General features: G+C 40.3%; 1 protein-coding gene and 1 long non-coding RNA gene across 8 annotated transcripts in view; one reads left to right on the top strand and one right to left on the bottom strand.

Moving 5' to 3' along the window:
* HSDL2-AS1 (HSDL2 antisense RNA 1) overlaps positions 1–17177 on the top strand; it is a 35847-nt gene extending 18670 nt beyond the window's left edge. The window contains exons 4-5 of one of the 3 annotated variants that reach the window (NR_171779.1): positions 8213–8351; positions 14903–17177. This is a non-coding gene — a long non-coding RNA (HSDL2 antisense RNA 1). The remainder of the gene's footprint in view (positions 1–8212; positions 8352–14902) is intronic. The other 2 variants (NR_171778.1, NR_171777.1) reach the window with 2 other exon arrangements.
* Positions 1–19124, bottom strand: part of HSDL2 (hydroxysteroid dehydrogenase like 2) — a 92298-nt gene that overhangs the window by 3431 nt on the left and 69743 nt on the right. For all 5 annotated transcript variants that reach the window (NR_036651.2, NM_032303.5, NM_001195822.2 and 2 more), the window contains 2 exons: positions 14813–14962; positions 9398–9526 (listed from right to left, as the gene is read on the bottom strand). Coding sequence is in view for 4 of the 5 variants with exons in the window: in NM_032303.5 (NP_115679.2) it covers positions 9398–9526; positions 14813–14962 (279 nt within the window). In the remaining variant the exon portion in view is untranslated. The remainder of the gene's footprint in view (positions 1–9397; positions 9527–14812; positions 14963–19124) is intronic.

Genomic DNA, 19124 nt, shown 5'->3' with positions numbered 1-19124 from the left:
CAGACATCTGGGTGTCCTTCAGCTAAATCAACTGGATCATGCTCTGTTATTCTACAGTGAAGCCTACCATTCCACCCACCCCACTCACACACATCTTCCAATGAGCTTTGCAGAGCCTTGCCCATAGAGATGAATGGACATCAAATATAACCAAAACCAAAACACAGATAAGAGCAACTTGGAGGAAACAGAATGCTGGCTCAGACAAAAGATAACTAAAGTAGAGTAAATGGAGAACAAATTAAAAATTCCACAATCTCTGCCCTCAGAGATAAAAGAAAATAATACAGCAAGGGATGGGGAACAGGATGCAGGTGGAGAAAGAGGGAAGAGGAGGAGCACAGGAAGGAGAGAGGAGAAGAAGAGGGGATGAAGGAGAGGGAGAGAGGAGAAAAAGGGAAAGGGGGAAAGGCAGTGATGCCAGGGAAGGAGAGGGGATGGGTTGGATTGAGGAGGAGGAAGAAAAACCATCAGAAAACAAGATGAGCTCTTAGAAAGTAAAATTTTAGTCAACAAAATTAAAATGCAATAGAAAGGTAGGAAAAAGAAGGTGAGTCGATCTCCTAGAAGGTGAAAAGAATTATACAAATATATGTGTAATAGGAGAAATGAGTGATTAAATCAGATGATCTTTTTCTCCAGAAAGTCAGAAGAGAGAAAACTGAGAGAACTATCAAAGAAATAATATAAGAACTTTTCAAGGGGCTGGGAAAATGACATTTACCTTTTATCACTGTGAAATATCAGACTACCACAGAGAAATATGTCTCTGATTTCAAAAACTTTCAGAAAGGACAGGGGTAGATAGAAAAGATTAAGACGAACAACATCAAATTCTCAACGATAATCTTAAGATGATAAAGCAATGGCTTCAAAATTCTGAGGGAAAATGAATTGCAACCTGGAAATCTCTACCCAGACAAACAATCAAGAGAGTTGGTAGAATAATAGTAGTTTCAGATACACACAAAAATTATCTCTAATGTATCCTTTCTCATGAAACTACTGGACAATGTGTGCCACCAAATTGAAGATGTAAAGGAAGAAAGAAGACATGGGATCCAGGAAACAGGAGATTCAGTGCAGGAGAGAGTTAAATTTCTAGGACAACAGCTGTGTAGCAGGCTTAATGAGCTTCAGGTCTAGATTATAACATGAAGACAAAGGGCTCCGGGGAAAAAGTGGACTGACACAAGCTGATACATTTGACAACGTAGAAAACTGCATCAAGAAGCTGTGGGAAGAGTACAGGAAGACTTTGCTTAGTGTCATGGACTGAATGTTGGCATTCCCCACAAACTTCATATCTTGAAGCTCTTGCCCTCAGTGTGATGGTCTCAGGAAGTGGGGCCTTGGGAAAATAATTTGGTTTAGGTGAAATCATGAGGATGGAGCCGGAATGATGGGATTAGTGCCCTTATAAGAAAAGGAAGAGAAACAATTTAGTGGCATTTAAGTCCAGGTACAATGTTGTGTACCACCACGCAACACGTGGTATCTATCTAGTTTCAACCATTTTCATCATCCCAAAATGAAACCCTCAGGGATTCAGCATTAGCAGCTCCCCCTGCCTCCAGACTCTGGCAACCACCAACAGCTCTCTGTGTCTATGGATGCACCTATTCTAGATATTTAATATAAAAGGATTTCTACAATATGTGATCTTTGGTGTCTGGCTTTTTTCATTTAGCATAATGTCCCATGGTGTAGCATGTATTAGTACTTCATTCCTTTTTATGGCTGACTGCTATTTCATTATATGTATATACCACACTTTGTTTATCCATGCATCCCTTAATGGACATTTAGGTTGTTTCTGTCTTTTGCCTATTGTGAATAGCGCTGCTGTGAATATGCATGTACATTTATTTGTTCGAGTGCCTGTTTTCAATTCTTTTGAGTATATATTTACAAGTAGAAATTGTGAGTTATTTGGTAATTCTATAATTAACTGTACCTATACATCTATGGATTTAACTAAACCCATGTATCTATAGTCAACTGATCTTCAACAAGGGTGCCAAGACCATTTAACACAGGAAAGAACAGTCTATTCAACAAATGGTGCTGGGATAACTGGATATCCACATACAAAAGAATGAAGTTGGACTCTCCTACCATCTACAAAAATTAACTTAAAATGGATCATAAACCTAAATGTAAGAGGTAAAACTCAAAACTCTTAGAAGAAAATATAGGTATAAAGCTTCCTAACCTTGATTTGGCAAAGGATTCTTATATATGACACTGGAAGTAAAAATCAAAAAAAATAGGTTGAACTTCAAAACTAAAAACATATGTGCTTCAAAATATATCATCAAGAAAGTGAAAAAACAACCTACAAAAAATGTGAAAAAGCATTTGTAAATCATGTATCTGATGAAACATAACTAACTGAAAATATATGAAGATTTTTTTTTTTTTTTGAGACAGTCTCTGTGTCACCCAGGCTAGAGTGCAATGGCGTGATCTTGGCTCACTGCAGCCTCCGCCTCCTGGGTTCAAGCGATTCTCCTGCCTCAGCCTCCTGAGTAGATAGGATTACATGCACCTGCCACCATGCCCAGCTAATTTTTGTATTTTTAGTAGAGATGGGGTTTCACCATGTTGGCCAGGCTGGTCTCGAAGTCCTGACCTCAAGTGATCTGCCCGCCTCGGCCTCCCAAAGTGCTAGGATTACAGGTGAGCCACTGCGCCTGGCCAGAATTTCTTAAAACTGAATAATAAAAGACAAATAACCAAATTTTGAAATGGCAAAGGACTTGAAGGGACATTTCTCCAAGGAAATACCTTTGATCCATAAGCACATAAAAAAAGTATGATATCATTTGTCATTAGAGAAATGCAAATCAAAACAATAAGATGCCATTTCACATCCACTAGGGTGGCAATAATGAAAAAACAAAATAATAACAAAAAAGAAGTGTTGGTAAGTGCAAGAATATGGAAAAATAGAAATCCTTGTACATTGCCGTTGGGAATGTAAATGATGCAGCCACTATGAAAAACCTTTTGGCAATTCTTTGAGAAGTTAAACATAAAATTATATTATGACCTAGAATTCTACTCCCATGTAGATAGCCAAGAGAAATGAAAACATAAAGCCACATAGAAACTTGTATATGAATGTTTATCGAAGCATTATTCATAATAGCCAGACAGCAGAAACAAAAGATGAATAGGTAAATGAATTGTGGTAAATCCATATAATGGAATAATATTCAGCCAGAAAAAGAAATGAGGTGCTGATACATGCTACAGCTTGGATGAACCTCAAAAACATTATGCTAAATAAAATAAGTCAGATGCAAAAGGTCACATATTGCATGATTCCATTTGTTTAAAATATTCAGAATATGCAAATCAATAGAGAAAAAGCAGATTAGTGGTTGCCAGGGGAGGTGAGAATGAGAAGTGCTTACTTACATATGGTACAGGTATTCCTCTGCAGTGATGAAAAAGTTTTGAAACCAGGGAGGGGTGGTTGCACAGCACTGTGAATATATTAAATGTCACTGAACTGTACACTTTAAAATGAGTAATTGCGGCCGGGCCTGGTGGCTCACGCCTGTAATCCCAGCACTTTGGCAGGCCGAGGCAGGAGGATTGCCTGAGGTCAGGAGTTCGAGACCAGCCTGGCCAACATGGTGAAATTCTGTCTCTACTAAAAATACAAAAATTAGCCAGGCGTGGTAGTGGGCTCCTGTAATCCCAGCTACCCAGGAGACTGAGGCAAGAGAATTGCTGGAACCCAGGAGGCAGATGTTGCAGTAAGCTGAGATCACGCCACTGCACTCCAGCTGGGGTGACTGCGCGAGACTCTGTCTCAAAAAATAAAAATAAAATGACTAATTGCATGTTATCTGAATTTCACTTTATTTTTTAAAAGGTTATGAAATACTAATACATGCTACTACAAGGATGAAACTTGAAAACATTATGTTAAGTGAAAGAAGCCAGTCACAAAAGATCACATATTACATGACTCAGTTCATACGAAAGTCAGAATAGGGAAAACCATAGAGATAGAAAGTTGATTAGTTGTTGCTTAGGGCTGCTGGTGGGGATATTGAGGGATATTACATTGACAGGTGATAGGTAGAGACAGAAAGTGGATTAGTGGTTGTTTAGGGGTAGAGGTGGGGATATAGAGGGATATGAGGTTGACCGCTAATGGGTGGGAGGTTTCTTTTTGAGATGACGAAAATGTTTTAAAAGCAACAGATGAATTTTACACTTTAAGTGGGTGAACTGTATGGTATATGAATTATATCTCAATAAAGCTGTTTTTAAAAAGCTATTGACATACAACTAGAAATTGAATTACTAATTTAAAATATTCCTACAAAAAATCCCAGCTACAAAATGGCTTCACTGATTAATTCAAATGATACAAAATCAATACACAAAAATTAGTTATAGCTATATATACCAGAAACAGGCAATTTGGAAATAAACTAACGACAATAATTTCATTTCACAACGGTAAAAAAGAAAATATTTAGTGGGAAAAGCATGAATGATAACAGGAAAAAATAATAGATTAAACTTGATCAAAACAAAACAACTTTTGTAATACAGAAGATACTTTTAAGAAAATGGAAAGAGAAACCACATACTAGGAGAAAATATTTGCAAATCACATATCCAATAAAGAACATGCATCCAGAATTTATAAAGAATCTGACAATATTCAAAAGACAACTCAATTTTACTTGTGTGTGTGTGTGTGTGTGTGTGTGTGTGTGTCTGTGTGTGTGTCTGTGTGTGTGTAGAAGCAGGGTCTCACTATGTTATTCAGGCTGGTCTCATACTCCTGGCCTCAAGTGATCCTCTTTCTTTGGCCCCCCAAAGTGTTGGGATTATAGGCATGAGCCACCATGCCTGGCTGACAACTCAATTTTAAAATGAGCAAAGACTGAATAGACAATTCACCCAATATAAGTAGCTATCAAACACATGAAAATATGTTTAAATCATTATCAGTAAGAAAATACAAATTAAAACCACACGAGGCTGGGCACGGTGGCTCATGCCTATAATCCCAGCACTTTGGGAGGCTGAGGTGGGTAGATCACTCGAGGCCAGGAGTTTGAGACCAGCCTGGCCAACATGGTGAAACCCCGTCTCTAGTAAAAATACAAAAATTACCTAGGTGTGGTAGTGCATGCCTGTAATCCCAGCTTCTTGGGAGGCTGAGACATGAGAATTGCTTGAACCCAGGAGGTGGAGGTTGCAGTGAGCCGAGATCATGCCACTGCACTCCAGCCTAGGAGAGCAAGACTGTGTCTCAAAAAATAAATAAATACACAAATAAACATATGAGATACCACTACATGCCCACTAGAATGGCTATAATAAAAAAGACAACAAGCCAACTCTGGGTGTACTACCTATGAGTTAACCCTGCTCTGCAAGGAGCAATTTTAAAAAAATGTTTTTAAAAGACAACAAGTGTTGGTGAATAGGTAGAGAAAATGGAACCTTAATACATTGCTGATGGGACTATAAAAATGGTATAGTCACTGTAGCAAATAGTTTGGTAGGTTCTTAAAAAGTTAAATATTGGCTGGGTACAGTGGCTCTCGCCTGTAATCCCAGGACTTTGGAAAGCTGAGGTAGGAGGATTGCTTTAGCCCAGAAGTTCAAGACCAGCCTGGGCAGCAAAGCGAGACCCTATCTCTATTTTATTTTAAGTGAAAAAAAAAAAAAAAAGTTAAATATCAACTTACCATATGACCTAGCAATTCCATTCTTAAAAATCTACCCAAGAAAAATGAAAACAAATATCCATACTGATAACATGTATGAGAATGTTCATAGCAGCAATATCCATAATAGCCAAAAACTTGAAACAATCCAAGTGTCCATCAGCTGGTGAGTGAATAAACAACATGTGGTATATCCATACAATGGAATACTATTCAGCAATAAAAAGGAACCGAACTACTGATACCAGCTACAACATATATATGAATGAATATCAAAAGCCTATGCTAAGTAAAAGGTGCTAGATGCAAAAGACTATATACTGTTTTATTCCATATATATAAAATGTCCAGAAATAGCAAATTTATAGAGACAGAGAGCAAATTAGTATTTGGCTGGCTAGGGCTTTGGGAATGGAAATAGGATCGACTGCAAAGAGACATGAGAGAATTTTTTAGTGTGATGAAATGTTCTCAGACTGGACTGTAGTTATGGCTGTGTAACTATAAATTTATTAAAAATCATTTATACTTAGGATGGTAAATTTTATTGCATGTGAATTAGACCTCAACAATACTGTTTTAACAAAAGTTTTTTAAAAAGCTAGTAAGCTCAATGTTTTATACACACACACACACACACACACACACACACACACACACACATCCCCCTCCTCAGGTAAAGTAATATTGCTCAATTTACTTTATTTCTGTCATACTGCTCCACCATACAGTGGCCTCTATTGGCCAAAAGGAGAGATTCTGATTAGTTGGTTACTAGTTGCTTTAATTTTTTTTTTTTTTGAGACAGGGTCTCAGTCAGTCACCCAGGCTGGAGTGCGGTGGCTCGATCTCAGCTCACTGCAACCTCCGCTTCAAGGTTCAGGCGATTCTTATGCCTTAGCCTCCTGAGGAGCTGGAATTACAGGCATGTGCCACCACACCCGGCTAATTTTTGTATTTTTGGTAGAGACAGGGTTTTGCCCTGTAGGCCAGGCTGGTCTCAAACTCCTGACCTCAAGTCATCCACCTGCCTTGGCCTCCCAAAGTGCTGGGATTACAGAAATGAACCACCACGCCTGGCCTAAATTTTTGTATTTATAATGTATCCACTACATAAATTAGGCATAGAAATGGCTATGGTCTCATCAAAGAGAATTCTTAGGATATAAAGTCTAAATTGTGCCCATTTAAAGGAAAGCAGATGGGATAAACAGTAAGAATAAAAGGACATAAGAAGCACAAGCAAACTCACTTGCTCCCGATCTAAACCATACCTATAAAATATACTTGATAAGAATAATTGTTTTTTTAAATAATTCATATAACTGACTGGCCTCATCCAGTGAATCCAAGACCACATTCAAAGAAAGATACCAATAGAAAGCCTATTATTTCAACTGTATGCTACATAAGTGAAATGTAAATTAAAGAAAGAAGTCACTTGATTTCTTCACCTTTGGAGGGCAGACTAGCATAATAATGAAGAGCATAAGCTTTGGAGTTAGCTTGGATTCAAATCCTTGCTCTATTTTCTCATTCATCAGCTGACCTTGGGCTTATTATTTAATTCTTCAAAGCCTCAGTACTTACTGCTATAAAATGGAGAACATATTTTATTGGAAAGAACTGTTGGGAGTATTGCTTAACCTGTAGCAATCATGCAATAAATAAATCATACATAATTACTGTTATTTCCATTTAGAAGTTGACAATACATTTTTATTTTAAATGGTCTTCATGTTAAAACAAATATTTATAAGATTCCGATTCACCAAACATTCATTGAGCGTTTATTAAATGTGTCCAAAGCACTGTGTTTAAGCTCTATGGAGAAATAGTTGTTGAAACACTGAAGAAACACTAAACTATTAAAAATCATTAAAGGGGCCGGGCGCGGTGGCTCACATTTGTAATACCAGCACTTTGGGAGGCCAAGGCGGGTGGATCACCTGAGGTCAGCAATTCGAGACCAGCCTGGCCAATATGGTGAAACCCTGTCTTTACTAAAAGTACAAAAAATTAGCCAGGCATGGTGGCGGGCACCTGTAATCCCAGCGACTCTGGAGGCTGAGGCAGGAGAATTGCTTGAACCCGGAAGGCAGAGGTTGCAGTGAACCAAGGTTAACACCATTGCACTCCAGCCTGGGCAACAAGAGCAAAACTCCGTCTCAAAAAAAAAAAATTCATTAAAGGGATAACCAATGATAAACATTGAAAGATGTTATAATGTATTAAGTGAAAAAGACTGCCAAACAGTAGTAATGGTATGATCCTGTTTTTATAAGCACACATGTATATTTATATACACTAACACACACATACAAATATACATATGTATGATGCTAAACCAAATTATGCAAACCATAATAAGATGAGCATAATATACATATATAGATGCTAAACCATATTTTGGTTTGGTTATGGTTTAGCATCATACATATGTATATTATGGTCATCTTTCAGTGGTATGGTAAAAATAATTTTATTTTCTTTTTTCTTAGGTATACTTTCTCTTTTTTTGAGACGGTTTCATTCTGCCGCCCAGGCTGGAGTGCGGTGGTGTTATCTCAACTTACTGCAGCCTTCACCTCTGGGCTCAGGCAATCCTCCTACCTTAACTGGAGTAGCTGGGGACTACAGGTGCGCACCAGCACACCCAACCAATTTTTGTATTTTCTGTAGAGACAGGGTTTCCCCATGTTGCCCAGGCTGGTCTCAAACTCCTGGGCGCAAGTGATCCTCCCACCTTGGCCTCCCAAAGCATTGGGATTCCAGGCGCGAGCCACCAGGCCTGGCCTATATTTTCTAATTTTTATATGAACATTTAACACCACTATAAAAAAAGGGAAAAGTTGAAGAAATGCTGATCATTAGTACACCGTATACAGATTGACTCAGATGGAATGCAGGCAATTAGCATCCTGAATTAGAACTGTAAAGAAAGACTTAGAGGGCACAGAATACACCATGTTCCTGCTTAGAAAAGATTAAAACAGAACAAAGTCTGAATAACATTTATAATTCACTCCATGAAAGACTCTTTAGATCAGGATGTTATGCTTAGTTTCAAGTGCTGCTTCTAATTTTTTAGAATTTGAGTTAATTAACTTATCATTTGGAGTAGTTTTCTAAGAGTAGAAAAGAGAAAATTATCCTTAATTTTCTGGCACAGTTAGAGGTAAATGGACAGAATAGAAAATCACACAAAAGGTTCTCTGGGTTTAGGACTCCCCAGAAAGCAGGGTCACTAGGCCATGGCCAAGGGCTGGTATGTGTTTCCTATTGAAACAGCTGGCAAGATGGAAGCACAACCCTACTCCCAATAAGCGAACTGCTGCTACTGAGTTCAGTGCCTCTAGTGACTGGGGTGTTATTGGAAACATAATACCTTAGGCCAGCTAATATGATGAAGCCCACCCAGGAGTCCCTTTGAATTATCTCACTGTTCCCAACATTATATTACTGGCTTCTCAGTAATGGAAGAAAATAATTCTGACATCTACCTTCCACTTGTGAGAGGAGGGAGAAGTGGCAATGGAGGCAACAGTAAGAACAGCCTTCCCAAAACTAAGATTCCACTGCTGCCAACATTTACAAGTCTTGATTATTTGGGAAGGGATAAAGCAAAATGTCAGAACTAAATTTTCTCTGAACAATAAGGTAAACTAATAAACTGGAAAACTCACCTGAAAACATTTTTACAAAGTCATCAGTAGTCATACTCATCACCACATCTGCCTGATCAGAAGGCTCTCCATATCCGACATTCCCACCCTTGCTTTTCAGATCAAGAAACCACGTGCCACCATCTTCACCTAGAGAGATAAACATATAGAAATCAATGTCATAGAAGCCCTGTTCTTCTTAAATTTAATAATTACTTCAATTAGAATAATCTTACAAAATGCTGTTTTCCAAGTTAAAATCCCCAGACCTCCATCAGTCAAATTCAGCAAATATTTATTAAGCACGTCCAGGTATTCTGCTAGGCTCTGAAGACTCTTCAATAAAAAGAAAACCATGGTTCTACTCACAAAAGAGGAAGTAGAGGGTGATGTGGGAGCACATTAAGGAATCAAGATAACCAGAGGAAGAAAACTCATAAAGACAGAAAGTAGAACAGTGGTTTCCAGGGACTGGGGGATGGGGAATGGGAGTTAACTGTTTAATGGGTACAGAGTTTCACTTGGAATGATGAAAAAGTTCTGGAGATAGATGGTGATGATTGTTTTGTTTTTGTTTTTGTTTTTGTTTTTTGTTTTCTTTTTCTTTTCTTTTTTTTGGAGATGGAGTCTAGCTCTGTCGCCCAGGCTGGAGTGCAGTGGCGCGATCTCGGCTCACTGCAAGCTCCGCCTCCCGGGTTCATGCTATTCTCCTGCCTCAGCCTCCCTAGTAGCTGGGACTACAGGTGCCCGCCACCACACCCAGCTAATTTTTTGTATTTTTAGTAGAGACGGGGTCTCACCATGTTAGCCAGGATGGTCTCGATCTCCTGACCTCGTGATCTGCCCACCTCGGCCTCCCAAAGTGCTGGGATTACAGGCATGAGATACCGTGCCCGGCAGGTGATGATTGTTATAAAACAATGTGAATGCATTTAATGCTACTAAGCTGTACACTTAGAAGTGGTTAAAATAGGCCGAGCATGGTGGCTCATACCTGTAATCCTGACTCTTTGGGAGGCAAGGGTGGGCAGATGACCTGAGGTCAGGAGTTCAAGACCAGCCTGGCCAACATGGTGAAACCCCGTTTCTACTAAAAATACAAAAAATTAGCCAGGTGTGGTGGGGAGTGCCTATAATCCCAGCTACTTGGGAGGCTGAGGCAAGAGAATTGTTTGAACCTTGGGGGCAGAGGTTGCAGTGAGCCAAGATCGCGCCATTGCACTCCAGCTTGGGGCAACAAGAGCAAAACTCCGTCTCAAAAGAAAAAAAAAAAAAAAAGAAGAAGTGGTTAAAATGTTATGTATTTTTTACTGCGATGCAAAATTAAGTTTTCAAAAAGGGTCAGGAAAGCTCAGTTGAAGCTGAGATTTGAAAGTTAAGTAAGAATTAGCTAGATGGACAGGGTAGAGGGAAAGTATTTCAGGCAATGGGAACAGCACATGCAAAAAAGCCAGAATCAAGAGTGCAGCACGTGTGAGGAACTGAAAAAAAAAAACAGTGGCACTAGAAGGTAGATGGGTGTTGGATGAGCTTGTGAGGCAGTCTAGGTCTGAGCACAGCCAGTCATGTAAAGGATTAAATGACTTCATCCTACAGGATGTGTCATGGAAGGAAGATGATATGGTAAGGTTTACGTATGGCCCTACCTGCAGTGTAGATAATAAATGGAGAGAAATCAAAAGGATGCAGAGGGCTAGTAAGGATGGTGTTGGGATAGTTCAGGAGCTTGAGGGTGCATGCCTGGACTGGGACCATGGCAGAGGCATGGAGAAAAGTGGGTACATTTGAGAGAGAATGTCAAGGCAGAACCATAAGACTAGGTAACTGCATATGAAGAGGAAAAGGTGGGGAGGGTATATAGGAATGATCTGCTAGTTCTTGGCTTGGGTGGATTTGTTTTTTAAGTGAGAGAAGACTACTGAAGAACAGCAGATTGCTTGATTTTTAATTTTTTAAGACAGGGTCTTGCTCTGTTGCCTAGGCTAGAGTGAAGTGGCATGATCATCACTCACTGCAGCCTCGACCTTCTGGGCTTAAGCTGTCTTCCCATCTCAGCCTCCCAAGTAGCTGGGATTATAGGCACACATCACCAGATCCAGCTAATTTTTTATTTTTATTTTTGTAGAGACAGGGTCTCACTATGTTACCCAGCCTGGTCTCGAACTCCTGAGCTCAAGTGATTGGCCTCCCAGAGTGCTGGGATTACAGGCAACGTTTAAAATTTTAATACAGCTCAAACCAGCACGTCTGGTTCATCTCAGCTCCTTCACTGTCAAACCAAGGGGCAGAGACTGCTTCAGCTTGTTTCTCTGCCTTCTCTTTGTGACAACCAAAGTATAATCCTGCTGCTGTGAACTTTATTTTTCTTGATCTTGACAGATACGGCATCCACTTGCCTGGATCTGAGCAGAAAGCGCTTGATTTCCTCCATTTTTTTTTCTTTCTTTTTTTGAGTCAGAGTCTCGCTCTGTTGCCCAAGCTGGAGTGCAGTGATGCGATCTGGGCTCACCGCAACCTCCGCCTCCGGGGTTCAAGCGATTCTCCTGCCTCAGCCTCCCAAGTAGCTGGGACTACAGGCACGCGCCACCAAGCCCGGCTAATTTTTATATTTTTTAGTAGAGATGAGGTTTTGCCATGTTGGCCAAGCTGGTCTTGACCTCTGTTGATCTGCCCACCTCGGCCTTCCAAAGTGCTGGGATAATAGGCACGAGCCACCCAGGGATTTCCACAATTTTTCAAGGCATGCAGAGAGAGGGTGTGGATCGACACTGCCCAAGAGACACAGCAAGCCAGACACTCAGCAGATTTCATGGGTGGTTGCAAAAAAACCATTTCCTGGGAATGGTTGTTTTGGACGTTTTCAGGCTGAGGCATCTTTGTGACAGTTAACTAAAAATGTCAAATGAAGTCTGGCTAAGCTAGAAACAGGGACACATAATCAGTCGGTTCCTATGGTCATTGAAGCCGCGTGAATGGTTGGGGTTTCCTAGAGAAAGTGTCAGGAATAGAGTGTCGAGAGTGCTGAGCCAGTGACCTGAAGAACATTGCTTAAGGGAAGGATAGAGGAGAAGCAGCCAGCAAGGGAGACTGACAAGGTGTGATCACAGGCAGGGAAGGAAAGCAAGGAGGTTACAATGAAGGACTGGGGAAGGAGCATTTCCAGAAGGAAAGTGTGGTCAACAGTATCAAATGCTGCAGAGTGGTCACAAGGGAGGAATGACACAGGCCCACTGGTGACAGGGAAGTCATCAAGGACCTTGCTGAAAACCAATTATGTGAAATGGAAACAAATGGTATCAGCAGGGTGTGTTCAGGGGAATGAGTTGTAGATGAAAATAAGTCTGGCTCTGAAAAGGAGAAAAAAGATGGGCTGTGTGGTTTGTTATTGTCACTGGGTTCTGTTTTAAAGTTAGAAAAGAATTGAGAACATTAAAATACCATTGGGAAGGAGGCTGCAAGATGAACAGATTGAGGACAAGGTTCAATTAACAGCACAAAATTCCTGAGAAGGCCAGGGAAAATGGGATCTAGAACTTTGCTTCCAAGTATGATCCATGGACTGCAATACTGTCATTACCTGTCAGACATGCAGAATCTCAGACTCCACTCCAGACCTGCTGAATCATTATTTTGCATTTTAGGAAGATCCCAGGTACTTGGTATAGACATTAGAGCTTGAGATGCACTGATGGAGAGCTGAGCTCCATTCTACTAAGAGGGAAGGAGGCAAGGATGATGCCTATCATGATTGATTTGATATCTGATGGCAGGAAGCTGAAGGCATTTTTGTCTGTAGGTTTCTATTACCTCTGTCAAAGAGCAAGTGGAATTATCTGCTGACACTGGCAGGGAAGAGGTGAAGGGAGAGATGGGAGATTTCAGGAACACTGAGAAAGTTTAAGATAGTCACTATGGAAAATGCAGCAGTAAGCTGACCACAAAAACACAGAATTCTGAAGTGTTGCTTAAACCTCAGCTGAAGCGGGGCAATAGTCAATTTCTACTGGTACAGATCCACCCAGGTGGTGTGATTTTTTTTAGCTTTCCTCCCCCAAAACTTTGCAACCTGGATACAACTGTGGAGCAGCCAGAGAGTTTGATTCAGCCAGGACTAGGCTTTTGACAGGTGATGGCATAAGCACAAAGGGTCCAGCAAGTTTAGGACACAAGCAAGAGAGTGACTAAAGCCATGGATGATGGATTCCAAGGATGGCAAGGAAGTAAGAACAGGAAGGCAAGATGGACTAAGATAAAGCAGAGAGGACGAAGAATAAAAAAGGTTTGTGTATAATGGGGCTGAGGTAGCCTTTTTTTTTTTAACACGAATTTTATCTGTTTCTTAACTTTTATTTGTTTGAGATGGGTCTCACTATGTTGCCCAGGCTGGAGTGCAGTGGTTATTCACAGATGCGATCGCAGTGTACTACAGTCTTGATCTCCTGGGCTCAAGTGATCCTCCAGCCTCAGCCTCCTGAGTAGCTGGGATTACAGCTGCACGCCACCATCCCTGGCAGCTAGTTCTTACACTATTATTAACGTGTAAATTTTATATGGAGAAGAACAATATTAAGAGATTTTTAAAAGCTAACTACCATCTGGGCACAATGGCTCACACCTGCAATCTCAGCACTTTGGGAGGCTGAGGCAGGAGGATTGCTTGAGGCTAGGAGTTTGAGACCAGCCTGGGCAACATGGCAAAACCCCACCTCTACTAAAAATACAAAAATTAGCCATGTGTGGTGGTGGGTGCCTTTAATCCCAGCTACTTGGGAGGCTGAGGCAGGAGAATCACTTGAACCCAGGAGGCAGAGGTTGCAGTGAGCCCAGATCCCACCACTGCACTCCAGCCTGGGCAACAAAGCGAGACTCCATTGCAAAAAAATAATTATAAATTTTTAAAAATAAAAAAAGTGAAAAAAAGCTGACTACCGTCAGACCGACCTGGTTAATGTCAAAGATAAAAATGGCAAGGTGCCTATGGTTGATAAATTACTGTATCATACTACCTGTCATGATCCATATGCCCTTCTAAGCAGGATTTTCTCTCAAATATGCCAGAGTTATATAACACTGGGAGTATTTGTAATAAAATTTTACTTTACATGTGTCCGTACGCACTGATCTTAATCTAGAAATAAAAATCATTGGGAGGCTGAGGTCAGAGGATTACTTGAGTCCAGGAGGTCAAGGCCGAAGTGAGCCATGATCATGCCATTGCTCTCCAGCCTGGGTGACAAAGACTCCATCTCAAAGACACAACAACAACAAAAACAAATCAATAGTTATGGTTGCTGTTCTTGAATGTCTACATTCAAGAGTAAGGGTCTTGAATGCAGCCAACTATCCAGGGGATCACTGTTGGACGCTGATTTTCTTCCAAAGGAAACACCCCATTTTGTTTCATAAAAACTTCAGATTACCAGATGCAGTCCTTACCGGAGAGTTCAAACAGATAGATTGCTTGAGTGGCTTTAACAACATCATCACTGAGAGAGTCCTTAACAATTCTAAATGTTTCTTCCACAGCTCCAGAACGTGGTTTTGGTTGCAGCTGCAGTTTCTCTTCTTTGAATTCTGGAACAGCACCTATAAGATATTATTGAAGCAAATGACCTTAATGCTTGGCAGTGAAGGACCCCACACAGAATTAATTAATCAGCAGGACAGACTTGCCACCAATTAGACCTATTTGACCAAAATGACTTTAAATGCATTAAGTGGCATCTAAAAGCATAAATCAAATTGACAGAATAACAGTCAAACACACATCAATTATGACTATAAATGTAAATCTTTATACTCTCCAAATAAAAGGCTGACTTTCAGATTAGGTTAAAAAATACTACTAAACTATAAATATTTATCATAAACAAACCTTCTATAATCTGAGTACTTTGTGAGGCCAAGGCTGGGCGTGGCGGCTCATGCATGTAATTCCAGCACTTTGGGAGGCCAAGGCGGGTGGATCACTTGAGCCCAGGAGTTCGAGACCAGCCTGGGCAACATGGAGAAACCCTGTCTCTACAAAAAATACAAAAATTAGCTGGGCGTGGTGGTTGGTGCCTGTAGTCCCAGCTACTTGGGAGGCTGAGGTGAGAGGATCACTTGAGCCTGGGAGGTAGAGGCTGCAGTGAGCCGAGATCACGCTACTGCACTCCAGCCTTGGTGACAGAGGGAGACCCTGTCTCAAAAAAATAAATAAAAGAAACAGACCTAAACACAACTACTGGAGTATGAGGGATGATAATCAATCACTCCTTTGTCAATTTCTCTCAGTTCTAAAACCAAATGAGAACAAAAAGACATTGGAATCAGAAAGATGGAAATCAAAATATCAGCTGTGGAACTGGTGGAGCTAAACTGAAGACTGTAGCTTGAATCAACACCCAAGTGTACTTTCTAATCACTCCACCTCTAAATTCAATCTATTCACCTAGTCCTTTCACCCATGGATTGACCCTGCATCCTCCCATCACGGGTTAGAAATGCTCTTAAGTAGAGATCATGTAAAAAACTGAGGACAGCCTGCTCAGAAAGAGAGAATGCTCAGAAGGGTCTGACACACAACCTCAGTTTCTTCTCCCTGTCTCACTTATTCAGATTATCCCTCCCACTAGATGAAAAGGGAGGTTAAACTGTTAGTCCCCTGACTAACAGGCTGCCCTCTCTGGAAACACTAGGTCACGGGAATGGAGGTTACCTGCAACATTTTAAAACTTGCATTCACTTAACCCACTGGCTATAACAACTTAACATATGATCAGCCAGGGGAGAAGACAGCAGTTCATAGGACTGCTTTGCTCCCATATCATGATGCTGCCCCCCAATACTGTCTCTGTTCCTTTATTTATTTTTGAGACAGTCTCGCTTTGTCACCCAGGCTGGAGTGCAGTGGCTTGATCTCGGCTCACTGCAACCTCCGTCTCCTGGTTCAAGTGATTCTCCAGCTTCAGCCTCCCGAGTAGGTGGGACTACAGGTGCCCACCACCGTGCCCGGCTAATTTTTGAATTTTTAGTAGAGACAGGGTTTCACCATGTTGGCCAGGCTGGTCTCAAACTCCTTACCTCAGGTGATCCACCCACATTGGCCTCCCAAAGTGCTGGGATTGCAGGCGTGAGCCACCGTGCCCGGCCTCTCTGTTCCTTTATTTATCATTCTAGAATCACATAGAGGCAGCTAAGTAGTTGCCCCCAGAAACAGGTAAGAACAATTCGTTAATTAAATTAACTCCAAGGCCAATCTGTGCTCTAGGCTGAAGGTGAATCTGTTTCTCAACTCAAATTATACACAGCCATCTTGTCTAATACAATTCCTCAAAGGTTATTACATGAAATCTAATTGACAGCATAAAGATACTCCATAGTACAAAGTAAGCTATTAATTCATAAAGTATACTGAATATAAATTGCCTTTCATTATGATGTTTCCACAAATAAAAAAAATCATTTTCCTTTTATAAGTTAAAGTACGAACAGATATTAGAGATGAAAGCCTTAAAGAATTTTTTTAGCCTGTTTTATTATTGTTTTAAAATTTACTACAGTGTACCCCTTTATTGCCTGCACTGGGGGCAATCCACTTCTGCCTTGCACTTAGCATGACACTGCTTTTTATTGACATGTAACATACATTCAGAAACAGTGATCAGATGTATCCAGATCAAACATCACCACCTAGGTCAAGAAAGATGATATTACAGGTATCCCAGAAGCCCACTCCACAACCCCTCCTAATTGCTAACACCATATATTAGTTTTGTCTCATGTTTATCTTCAAATAAATGGAATCAATCACACAGTATCTATTCTTATATGCCTGCCGATCCTTCAAATCTCTTCCAAAAAAAAAAAATGCAAGAGGAGGGAACACTTTCTAATTAATTATGTGAGGTCAGTATTACCATGACACCAAGCCAGACGCAGACTTAAAAGAAAACTGACTAGTATAGACAGACAATATGCAAATGCATATACATGCATACATACATGAAATTAAGTCGAGAAGTGATGGGTTCTACTTTAAAAAGAGCAAGAGCTGGGATAGAATGTAAGACTATTTTAGATAAGACAGTTTTTGAATAGACACTGAATTAAACAATATAAGGCTGAATATGTAAATACATACACACATACATATTTATTCTACAATTTGAAAACATAAATGTGGCCAACAGTTCGTCTTCACCAGTTCAATTTGAAAAAGGTATTCCCCATGCTTCAGTGACAATAACCTAATACTTTATAACCTTTGCAATGCTTATTTGAGCAATGCCACTTCCCAGTTATTTTCCAAATGTACACCAGTGTAAGTGAATGAGACACATTACTATTAATATAAGGTATTATTATTTAGAAGCCAATTTTAAAATTGAGCTATGAATTCCAATATTTATCTATTTTTTTTGGTCTGTTTTTTGAGATGGGCTTACTCTGTCACCCAGGCTGAAGTGCAGTGGTACAGTCAAGGTTCACTGCAGCCTCAACTTCCTGAGCTCAAGCTTCCTGAGTAGCTGGGACCACAGGCATGTGCCACTACGCCCAGCTAATTTTTTGTATTTTTTATAGAGACGGGGTTTCACCATGTTGGCCAGGCTGGTCTCGAACTCCTAGACTCAAACGATCCACCCGCCTCAGCCACCCATGATTGGGATTACAGACATGAGATACCACACCCGGCCTCAAAAAGTTGTTTTTGAAGACATGGAAAACATTCACAATAATTAAGTAATGTTAAATTAAATGGGAGTCTATGCAATTAAACATAATATATATAAAGCTTCTTTCTTAAGAAAATAAAAAACAATATGAACCTACTGGTAAAATATTTATTTCTGGGTATACATTTTAAATTATATGTGCCAAAAAAAAGTGGTTGAAAGGAAATAAGCCAAAATATAAATGTACTTATAATTGGATTACAGGTGACTTTAAAATTTTTCTTTGAGCTGTTCTATACTTTTTTTTTTTTTTTTGAGGCAGTCTTGCTCTGTCACCTAGGCTGGAGTGCAGTGGCATGATCTCAGCCCATTGCAACCTCCACCTCCCAGGTTCAAGCGATTCTTGTGCCTCAGCCTCCCGAATAGCTGGGATTACAGGCACATACCACTGCACCCGACTAATTTTGTATTTTTAGTAGAGACAGGGTTTCACCATGCTGGCCAGGCTGGTCTTGAACTCCCGACCTCAGGTGATCTGCTCGCCTCAGCCTCCCAAAATGCTGGGATTACAGGCATGAGCCACGGCACCTGGCCTGTTCTATGCTTTTTTTATACTTCTGTATTAAACTTGTCTTTTTAAATTTTTAATGTTTTAATTTTTTTCTATTGGTAGAGATGGGGGGGGGGTCTCGCTATGTTGCCCAGGCCGGTCTTGAACTCATGTCCTCAAGTGATCATCCCACCTCTGTCTCCCATAGTGTTATGATTACAGGTGTGAGCCCCTATACCCTGCCCGTACTAAGCTTTTCTATACAGACTAATTTAAAATGCTATCAAAATTGAGTAAAGTATATAACAAAATCGATTGGATGTAGCCAAAGCTATGTTAAGGGGATAAATGCACAAACTTTATTTCATTATTTTAAAAGAAATAACAATAAAGTATTAGCCCAACAAGTAAGAACAGGAACAAAAGCAACCTCAAAGAAAGCAGAAAGGAGAAAACAATAAACCAAAAGTAAAAAAAGTAAGGAATCAGATGGTTGCACAATTCTGGGAAGATGCTAAAAATCACTAGACACTTCCAAATG

The sequence above is a fragment of the Homo sapiens genome, chromosome 9 (assembly GCF_000001405.40).
Source record: "Homo sapiens chromosome 9, GRCh38.p14 Primary Assembly".
NCBI classification, from domain to species: Eukaryota; Metazoa; Chordata; class Mammalia; order Primates; family Hominidae; genus Homo; species Homo sapiens.
The sequence above is the reverse complement of the archived record's forward strand: the minus strand, read 5'-3'. Positions and strand labels throughout refer to the sequence as shown.